Here is an 11,389-nt window from a genome sequence, read left to right as displayed (position 1 = left end):
AGAATGCTTCTGTCTAGTTTTTATGTGAAGATATTCCCGTTTCCAACGAAATCCTCAAAGCTATCCAAATATCCACTAGCAGACTCTGCAAAAAGTGTGTTTCAAAACTGCTCATCAAAGGAAAAGTTCAACTCTGTTAGTGGGTACGCACATCACAAAGAAGTTTCTGAGAATTCTTCTGTCTAATTTTTACGGGAAGACATTTCTTTTTCACCATAGGCCTCAAAACTCTAAATTTTCCACTTACAGATTCTTCAAAAAGAGTGTTTCAAAACTGCTCTGTGAAAAGGACTGTTGAACTCTATTTGTTGAATGGAAGCATCACAAAGAAGTCTCTGAGAATGCTTCTGTCTAGTTTTTATGTGAAGATATTCCCGTTTCCAATGAAAGCCTCAAAACTATACAAATATCAACTTGCAGATTCTACAAAAAGAGAGTTTCGAAACCGCTGTATGAAAAGAAATGTTCAACTCTGTGAGTTGAGTAAACACATCAGAAAGAAGTTTCTGAGAATGCTTCTGTCTAGTTTTTATGTGAAGATATTTACTTTTTCACCATAGGCCTCAAAGCGCTCCAAATGTCCACTTCCAGATAGTTCAGAAAGAGTGTTTCAAAACTGCCCTATGAAAGGGAATGTTCAGCTCTGTGAGTTGAAAGCAAACATCATAAAGAAGGTCCTGAGATTGCTTCTGTCTAGTTTTTATGTGAAGATATTCCCGTTTCCAACGAAATCCTGAAAGCTATTCAAATAGCCACTTGCAGACTCTACAAAAAGAGTGTTTCAAAACTGCTCTATCAAAGGAGAAGTTCAACTCTGTGAGTGGAGTACACACTTCACAAAGAAGTTTCTGAGAATTCTTCTGTCTAGTTCTTATGGGAAGATATTTCTTTTTCACCATAGACCTCAAAGTGATAAAATTTCCACTTACAGTTGCTTCAAAAACAGTGTTTCAAAACTGCTCTATGAAAACGAATGTTCAACTCTGTGAATTGAATGCAAGCATCACAAAGAAGTTTCTGAGAATGCTTCTGTCTAGTTTTTATGTGAAGATATTCCCGTTTCCAACGAAAGCCTCAAAGCTATCCAAATATCAACTTGCAGATTCTACAAAAAGAGAGTTTCAAAACTGCTGTATCAAAAGAAATGTTCAACTCTGTGAGTTAAGTACACACATCACAAAGAAGTTTCTGAGAATGCTTCTGTCTAGTTTTTATGTGAAGATATTCCCTTTTTCACCATAGGCCTCAATGCGCTCCAAATGTCCACTTCGGGATAGTAGAAAAAGAGTGTTTCAAAACTGCCCTATGAAACGGAATATACAACCCTGTGTGTTGAAAGTAAACATCATAAAGAAGTTCCTGAGAATGTTTCTATCTAGTTTTTATGTGAAGATATTCCCGTTTCCAACGAAATCCTCAAAGCTATACAAATATCCACTTGCAGACTCTACAAAAAGAGTGTTTCAAAACTGCCCTATCAAAAGAAAAGCTCAACTCTGTGAGTTGAGAACACACATCACAAAGAAGTTTCTGAGAATTCTTCTATCTAGTTTTTATGGGGAGATATATCCTTTTTCACCACAGGCTTCAAAGCGCTCCAATTTTCCACTTACAGATTCAACAAAAAGAGTGTTTCAAAACAGCTCTATGGAAAGGAATGTTCAACTCTGTGAGTTGAATGCAAGCATCTCAAAGAAGTTTCTGAGAATGGTTCTGTCTAGTTTTTATGTGAAGATATTCCCGTTTCCAACGAAATCCTCAAAGCTATCCAAATATCCACTTACAGATTCCACAAAAAGAGTGTTTCAAAACTGCTGTATCAAAAGAAAGGTTGAACACTGTGAGTTGAGTACACATATCATAAATTAGTTTCTGAGAATGCTTCTGTCTAGTTTTCATGTGAAGATATTTCCTTTTTCACAGTAGGCCTCAAAGCACACCAACTGTCCACTTCCAGATACTACAAAAAGTGTGTCTCGGGGGGAAGGAGCCAAGATGGCCAAATAGGAACAGCTCCGGTCTACAGCTCCCAGCATGAGAGACGCAGAGGACGGGTGATTTCTGCATTTCCATCTGAGGTACCAGGTTCATCTCACTAGGGAGTGCCAGACAGTGGGTGCAGGTCAGTGGGTGCACGCACCTTGCACGAGCCAAAGCAGGGTAAGGCATTGACTCACTTGGGAAGCACAAGGGGTCAGGGAGTTCCCTTTCCGAGTCAAAGAAAGGGGTGATGGACGCACCTGGAAATTCGGGTCACTCCAACCTGAATATTGCGCTTTTCGGACCGGCTTAAAAAATGGCGCACCATGAGATTATATGCTGTACCTGGCTCGGAGGGCCCTACATACATGGAGTCTCACTGATTGCTAGCACAGCAGTCTGCGATCAAACTGCAAGGCGGCAGCGAGGCTGGGGGAGGGGCGCCCGCCATTGCCCAGCCTTGCTTAGGTAAACAAAGCAGCCTGGAAGCTCGAAATGGGTGGAGCCCACCACAGCTCAAGGAGTCCTGCCTCCCTCTGTAGGCTCCACCTCTGGGGGCAGGGCACAGACAAACAAAAAGACAGCAGTAACCTCTGCAGACTTAAATGTCCCTGTCTGACAGATTTGAAGAGAGCAGTGGTTCCCCCAGCATGCAGCTGGAGATCTGAGAATGGGCAGACTGCCTCCTCAAGTGGGTCCCTGACCCCTGACCCCCGAGCAACCTAACTGGGAGACACCCCCCAGCAGGGGCACACTGACACCTCACATGGCAGAGTATTCCAACAGACCTGCAGCTGAGGGTCCTGTCTGTTAGAAGGAAAACTAACAAACAGAAAGGTCATCCACACCAAAAACCTATCTGTACATCACCATCATCAAAGACCAAAAGTAGATGAAACCACAAAGATGGGGAAAAAACAGAATAGAAAAACAGGAAACTCTAAAACGCAGAGTGCCTCTCCTCCTCCAAAGGAACGCAGTTCCTCACCAGCAATGGAATGAAGCTTGATGGAGAATGACTTTGACGAGCTGAGAGAAGAAGGCTTCAGATGATCAAATTACTCTGAGCTACAGGAGGACATTCAAACCAAAGGCAAAGAAGTCGAAAACTTTGAGAAATATTTAGAAGAATGTGTAACTAGAATAACCAACACAGAGAAGTGCTTAAAGGAGCTGATGGAGCTGAAAACCAAGGCTCGAGAACTATGTGAAGAATGCAGAAGCCTCAGGAGCCGATGTGATCAACTGGAAGAAAGGGTATCAGCAATGGAAGATGAAATGAATGAAATGAAGCGAGATGGGAAGTTTAGAGAAAAAAGAATAAAAAGAAATGAGCAAAGCCTCCAAGAAATATGGGACTATGTGAAAAGACCAAATCTACGTCTGATTGGTGTACCTGAAAGTGATGGGGAGAATGGAACCAAGTTGGAAAACACTCTGCAGGATATTATCCAGGAGAACTTCCCCAATCTAGCAAGGTAGGCCAACGTTCAGATTCAGGAAATACAGAGAATGCCACAAAGATACTCCTCAAGAAGAGCAACTCCAAGACACATAATTGTCAGATTCACCAAAGTTGAAATGAAGGAAAAAATGTTAAGGGCAGCCAGAGAGAAAGGTTGGGTTACCCTCAAAGGGAAGCCCATCAGACTAACAGCGGATCTCTTGGCAGAAACCAAACAAGCCAGAAGAGAGTGGGGGCCAATATTCAACATTCTTAAAGAAAAGAATTTTCAACCCAGAATTTCATATCCAGCCAAACTAAGCTTCATAAGTGAAGGAGAAATAAAATACTTTACAGACAAGCAAATGCTGAAAGATTTTGTCACCACCAGGCCTACCCTAAAAGAGCTCCTGAAGGAAGCACTAAACATGGAAAGGAAAAACCGGTACCAGCCACTGCAAAATCATGCCAAAATGTAAAGACCATCGAGACTAGGAAGAAACTGCATCAACTAACGAGCAAAATCACCAGCTAACATCATAATGACAGGATCAAATTCACACATAACAATATTATGTGTGTTTGCTTTCAATGTAAATGGACTAAATGCTCCAATTAAAAGACACAGACTGGCAAATTGGATAAAGAGTCAAGACCCATCAGTGTGCTGTATTCAGGAAACCCATCTCATGGGCAGAGACACACATAGGCTCAAAATAAAAGGATGGAGGAAGATCTACCAAGAAATGGAAAACAAAAAAAGGCAGGGGTTGCAATCCTAGTCTCTGATAAAACAGACTTTCAACCAACAAAGATCAAAAGAGACAAAGAAGGCCATTACATAATGGTAAAGGGATCAATTCAACAAGAAGAGCTAACTATCCTAAATATATATGCACCCAATACAGGAGCACACAGATTCATAAAGCAAGTCCTGAGTGACCTACAAAGAGACTTAGACTCCCACACATTAATAATGGTAGACTTTAACACCCCACTGTCAACATTAGACAGATCAAGGAGACAGAAAGTCAACAAGGATACCCAGGAATTGAACTCAGCTCTGCACCAAGCGGACCTAATAGACATCTACAGAACTCTCCACCCCAAATCAACAGAATATACATTTTTTTTCAGCACCACACCACACTTATTCCAAAATTGACCACATACTTGGAAATAAAGCTCTCCTCAGCAAATGTAAAAGAACAGAAATTATAACAAACTATCTCTCAGACCACAGTGCAATCAAACTAGAACTCAGGATTAAGAATCTCACTCAAAACCGCTCAACTACATGGAAACTGAACAACCTGCTCCTGAATGACTACTGGGTACATAACAAAATGAAGGCAGAAATAAAGATGTTCTTTGAAACCAATGAGAACAAAGACACAACATACCAGAATCTCTGGGACGCATTCAAAGCAGTGTGTAGAGGGAAATTTATAGCACTAAATGCCCACAAGAGAAAGCAGGAAAGATCCAAAATTGACACTCTAACATCACAATTAAAAGAACTAGAAAAGCAAGAGCAAACACATTCAAAAGCTAGCAGAAGGCAAGAAATAACTAAAATCAGAGCAGAACTGAAGGAAATAGAGACACAAAAAACCCTTCAAAAAATTAATGAATCCAGGAGCTGGTTTTTTGAAAGGATCAACAAAATTGATAGACCGCTAGCAAGACTAACAAAGAAAAAAAGAGAGAAGAATCAAATAGACACAATAAAAATGATAAAGGGGATATCACCACTGATCCCACAGAAATACAAACTACCATCAGAGAATACTACAAACAGCTCTATGCAAATAAACTGGAAAATCTAGAAGAAATGGATAAATTCCTGGACACATACACTCTCCCAAGACTAAACCAGGAAGAAGTTGAATCTCTGAATAGACCAATAACAGGATCTGAAATTGTGGCAATAATCAATAGTTTACCAACCAAAAAGAGTCCAGGACCAGATGGATTCACAGCAGAATTCTACCAGAGGTACAAGGAGGAATGGTACCATTCCTTCTGAAACTATTCCAATCAATAGAAAAGAGGGAATCCCCCCTAACTCATTTTATGAGACCAGCATCATTCTGATACCAAAGCCAGGCAGAGACAAAACAAAAAAAGAGAATTTTAGACCAATATCCTTGATGAACATTGACGCAAAAATCCTCAATAAAATACTGGCAAAACGAATCCAGCAGCACATCAAAAAGCTTACCCACCATGATCAACTGGGCTTCATCCCTGGGATGCAAGGCTGGTTCAATATACAAAAATCAATAAATGTAATCCACCATATAAACAGAGCCAAAGACAAAAACCACATGATTATCTCAACAGACGCAGAAAAAGCCTTTGACAAAATTCAACAACCCTTCATGCTAAAAACTCTCAATAAATTAGGTATTGATGGGACGTATTTCAAAATAATAAGAGCTATCTATGACAAACCCACAGCCAATATCATACTGAATGGGCAAAAACTGGAAGCACTCCCTTTGAAAAGTGGCACAAGACAGGGATACCCTCTCTCCCCACTCCTATTCAACATAGTGTTGGAAGTTCTGGCCAAGGCAATTAGGCAGGAGAAGGAAATAAAGGGTATTCAATTAGGAAAAGAGGAAGTCAAATTGTCCCTGTTTGCAGACGACATGATTGTATATCTAGAAAATCCCATTATCTCAGCCCAAAATCTCCTTAAGCTGATAAGCAACTTCAGCAAAGTCTCAGGATACAAAATCAATGTACAAAAATCACAAGCATTCTTATACACAAACAACGGACAAACAGAGAGCCAAATTATGAGTGAACTCCCATTCACAATTGCTTCAAAGAGAATAAAATACCTAGGAATCCAACTTACAAGGGATGTGAAGGACCTCTTCAAGGAGAACTACAAACCACTGCTCAAGGAAATAAAAGAGGATACAAACAAATGGAAGAACATTCCATGGTCATGTGTAGGAAGAATCAATATCTTGAAAATGGCCATACTGCCCAAGGTAATTTACAGATTCAATGCCATCCCCATCAAGCTACCAATGCCTTTCTTCACAGAATTGGAAAAAACTACTTTAAAGTTCATATGGAAACAGAAAAGAAACACTCTCTTTTTAGAATCTGCAAGTGGATTTTTGGAGCACTTTGAGGCCTATGGTGGCAAAGGAAATATCTTTACATAGAAACTACACAGAAGCATTCTGAGAAACTTCTTTGTGAAGTGTGTATTCAACACGCTGAGTTCAACCTATCTTTTGATAGAGCAGTTTTGAAGCTGCCGTCTTTTAGAATCTGCAATTGGATATTTGGAGCTCTTTGTGTCAGATGATGGAAAAGGAAACATCTTCCCAAAGAAACTACACAGAAGCATTTCGAGAAGCTTCTTTGTGATGTGTGCTTTCATCTCACAGAGTTGAACCTTAATTTTGATTGAGCAGTTTGGAAACACTCTTTTTGTAGAATCTGCAAGTGGATATTTGCAGCACTTTGAGACCTGTGATGGAAAAGGAAATATATTCACATAAAAACTACACATAAGCATTCTGAGAAACTTCTTTGTGATGTTTGCATGCTACTCACACAGTTGAACCTATCTTTTGATAGAGCAGTTTTAAAACCCACTTTTTGTCGAATCTGCAAGTGGATATTTGGAGCCCTTTGCAGCCTATGGTGGAAAAGGAAATATCTTCACATAAAAGGTACACAGAAGCATTCTGAGAAACTACTTTGTGATGTGTGCATTCATCTCACAGGGTTGAACCTTCCATTTGATGGAGCAGTTTTGAAACACTCTTTTTGTAGAATCTGCAAGTGCATATTTGGAGTGCTTTGACGCCTATTGTGGAAAAGGAAATATCTTCACATAAAAACTACACAGAAGCATTCTCAGAAACTTCTTTGTGATGAGTGCATTCATTGCACGGAGTTGAACCTTTGTTTTGAATCAGCAGTTTGCATACTCTCTTTTTGTAGAATCCGCAAGTGGATATTTGAAGCCCTTTGTGGCCTATGTTGGAAAAGGAAATATCTTCCAATAAAAACTAGAAAGAAACATCCTGAGAAACTTCTTTGTGATGTGTGCATTCATCTCACAGAGTTGAAGCTTTCTTTTGATTAAGCCATCTTTAAACACTCTTTTTGTAAAATCTGCAAGTGCATATTTGGAGTGCTTTGAGGCTTATTGTGGAAAAGTAAATATCTTCATATAAAAACTACACAGACGCCTTCTGAGAGACTTCTTTGTGATGTGTGCATTCATCTCACTGAGTTGAACCGTTGCTTTGATTGAGCAGTTTGGAAACACTCTTTTTGTAGAATCCACAAGTGGATATTTGGGGCCCTTTGAGGCAGATGGCAGAAAAGGAAATATTTTCCCATAGAAACTACACAGAAACATTCGGAGAAACTTCTTTGCAATGGACGGTTTCATCTCACAGAGTTGAACCTTTCTTTTGATTGAGCAGTTTGGAAACAGTTTTTGCAGAATCTGCCAGAGTATATTTGGATCACTTTCAGGCCTATGGTGGAAAGCGAAATATCTTCACATAAAAACTACACAGAAGCCTTCTGAGAAACAAATTTGTGATGTGTGCATTCAACTCACAGAGTTGAACCTATCTTTTGATTGAGCAGTTTTGAAACTCTCTATTTGTAGAATCTGCAAGTGGATATTTGGAGCCCTTTTAGCCCTTTGGTGGAAAAGGAAATATGTTCACATAAAAACTACACAGAAGCAATCTGAGAAACTACTTTGTGATGTGTGCATTCAACTCACAGAGTTGAACTTATCTTTTCATAGAGCAGTTTTGAAACTCTCTATTTGTAGAATCTGCAAGTGGATATTTGCAGTCCTTTGCCTCCTATGGTGGAAAAGGAAATATCTTCCCATAAAAACTAAACAGAAGCATTCGGAGAAACTTCTTTGTGATATGTTCATTCATCTCACAGAGCTGAACCTTTCATTTGATTGAGCAGTTTTGAAACACAATTTTTGTAGAATCTGCAAGTGGATATATGGAGCTCTTTGAGGCCTATTGTGGAAAAGGAAATATCTCCACATAAAAACTACACAGAATCATTCTGAGAAACTCCTTTGTGATGTGTGCATTCATCTCACAGAGTTGAACATTTCTTTTGATTCACCAATTTTGAAACAATCCTTTCGTAGTATCTACAACTGGGTATTTGGAGCGCTTTGAGGCCTGCATGGAAAAGGAAATATCTTCACCTAAAAACTACAAAGAAGCATTCTGAGAAACTTCTTTGTGATGTGTGCATTCAACTCACAGAGTTGAACTTATCTTTTGATAAAGCATATTTTAAACTCTCTTTTTGTAGAATGTACAAGTGGATGTTTGGAAACCTTTGTGGCCTATGGTGGAAAACGAAATATCGTCCAAGAAAAACTACACAGAAACATTCTAGGAACCGCCTTTGCAACGTGTGCATTCATCTCACAGAGTTGAACTTTTCTTTTAATTGAGTAGTTTGGAAACACTCTTTTTGTAGAATCTGCAAGTGGATATTGGGAGTGCTTTGAGGCCTGTTTTTGAAAAAGACATATCTTCACATAAAACCACACAGAAGCATTCTCAGAAACTTTTTTGTGATGTGTGCATTCATCTCACAGAGTTGAACATTTCTTTTGGTTGAGCAGGTTTGAAACACACTTTTTGTAGAATCTGCAAATGGATATTTGGAGCGCTTTGGGCCTGCGATGGAAAGGAAATATCTTCACATAAAAACTACACAGAAGCATTCTGAGAAACTTCTTTGTGATGTGTGCATTCATCTCACAGATATGAAGCTTTCTTTTGATTGAGCAGTTTGGAAAAACTCTTTTTCTAGTATATGCAAGCAGAGATTTGGAGACCTTTGTGGCTTATGTTGCAAAAGGAAATATCTTAACATAAAAACTACACAGAAGCATTCTGATAGACTTCCTTTTCATGTGTGCATTCATCTCACATAGTTGAACCTTTCTTTCGATAGAGCAGTTTTGGAACTCTCTTTTTGTAGGATCTGCAAGGGGATATTTGGAGGCCTTTGCAGCCCATAATGGAAAAGGAAATATCTTCCAATAAAAACTACACAGAAGCATTCTGGGAAACTTCTTTTTGATGTGTGCATTTATCTCACAGAGTTAAACATTTCATTTGATTTATCAGTTTTGGAACACTCATTTTCTAGAAACTGCCAGTGGATATTTGGATCACTTTGAGGCCTATTGTGCAAAAGGAAATATCTTCATATAAAAACTACATAGAGGCATTCTCAGAAACTTCTTTGTGATGTGTGTATTCATCTCAGACTTCAACCTTTCTTTTGAATGAGCATTTTGGAAACACTCTTTTTGTAGAATCTGTGTGTGGATACTTGGAGCCTTTTGAGGCCTATTGTGGAAAAGGAAATATCTTCACATAAAAACTACACAGAAAAATTTGAGAAACTTCTTTGTGATACTTGCATTCATCTCACATATTTGAAAATTTCTTTTGATAGAGCACTTTTGAAACTCTCTTTTTGTAGAATCTGCAAGTGGATATTTGGAGCGCTTTGAGGCCTATGGTGGAAAAGGAAATATCTTAACATAAAAACTACACAGAAGCATTCTGAGAAACTTCTTTGTGATGTGTACATTCAACTCGCAGAGTTGAAACTATCTTTTGATAGAGCGGTTTTCATACTCTCTTTTTGTATAATCTGCAAGTGGATATTTGGAGCCCTTGGTGGCCTATGGTGGAAAAGGAGATATCTTCACATTAAAACTTCAAAGAAGCATTCTGAGAAGCTTCTTTGTGATGTGTGCATTGATCCCACTGAGGTGAACGTTTCTTTTTATTTAGAAGTTTGGAAACACTCCTTTGCAGAGTCTGCAAGTGGATATTTGGAGTGCTTTGAGGGCTATGGTGGAAAAGGAAATATCTTCACATAAAAACTACACAACATCATTCTCAGAAACTTCTTTGTGATGTGTGCATTCAACTAACATAGTTGAACCTATCTTTGATAGAGCAGTTTTGAAATTCTCTTCTTATAGAATCTGCAAGTGGAGTTTTGGAGCCCGTTGAGGCCTATTGTGGAAAAGGAAATATTTTCACATAAAAACTATACACAAGCATTCTGAGAAACTTCTTTGTGATGTGTGCCTTCATCTCACAGAGATGAACCTTTCTTTTGATTTAGCAATTTTGAAACACTCTGTTTGTATATTCGGCAAGTGGATGTTTGGAGCGCTTTGTGGCCTATGGTCGAAAAGGAAATATCTTCACATAAAAACTACACGGGGACTTTCTCAGAAACTTCTTTGTGATGTGTGCATTCAACTCACAGGGTTGAACCTATCTTTTGATAGGGCAGTTTTGAAACTCTCTTTTTGTAGAATCTGCAAGTGGGTATTTGTAGCCCTTTGTGGCCTATGTTGGAAAAGGAAATATCTTCACATAAAAACTACCCAGAGGCATTCTGAGAAACTTCTTTGTGATGTGTGCATTCATCTAACAGAGTTGAAACTTTCTTTTGATGGAGTAGTTTGGAAACACTCTTTTTCTAGAATCTGCATGTGGATATTTGGAGCGCTTTGAGGCCTATGATGGAAAAGGAAATATCTTTACATAAAAACTACACCAAAGCATTCTGAGAAACTTCTTTGTGATGTGTCCATTCAACTCACAGGGTTGAACCTATCTTTTGATAGAGCAGTTTTGAAACCCTCTTTTTGTAGGATGCGCAAATGGATATTTGGAGTAGTTTGAGGCCAATTGTGGAAAAGGAAATATCTTCACATAAAAACTACACAGAAGCATTCTCAGAAACGTTTTGTGATGTGTGCATTCAACTCACAGAGTTCAACCTATCTTTTCATAGAGCAGTTTTGAAACTCTATTTTGTAGAATATGCAAGGGGATATTTGGAGCCATTTGTGGCCTATGGGGGAAAAGGACATATCTTCACATAAAA

General features: G+C 38.9%; 2 annotated features.

The window, feature by feature from the left end:
* Positions 352-1,184: an enhancer, noted in NCBI's record as "OCT4-NANOG-H3K27ac hESC enhancer chr16:34022137-34022969 (GRCh37/hg19 assembly coordinates)". NCBI's record gives its function as "activates a minimal SCP1, AML or CMV promoter by ChIP-STARR-seq in primed H9 embryonic stem cells {active_cell/tissue: H9 hESC(primed)}" and the evidence as "EXISTENCE:reporter gene assay evidence [ECO:0000049][PMID:30033119]".
* Positions 1,185-2,018: an enhancer, noted in NCBI's record as "OCT4-NANOG-H3K27ac hESC enhancer chr16:34021303-34022136 (GRCh37/hg19 assembly coordinates)". NCBI's record gives its function as "activates a minimal SCP1, AML or CMV promoter by ChIP-STARR-seq in primed H9 embryonic stem cells {active_cell/tissue: H9 hESC(primed)}" and the evidence as "EXISTENCE:reporter gene assay evidence [ECO:0000049][PMID:30033119]".

Source organism: Homo sapiens, chromosome 16 (assembly GCF_000001405.40).
Source record: "Homo sapiens chromosome 16, GRCh38.p14 Primary Assembly".
NCBI classification, from domain to species: domain Eukaryota; kingdom Metazoa; phylum Chordata; class Mammalia; order Primates; family Hominidae; genus Homo; species Homo sapiens.
The sequence above is the reverse complement of the archived record's forward strand: the minus strand, read 5'-3'. Positions and strand labels throughout refer to the sequence as shown.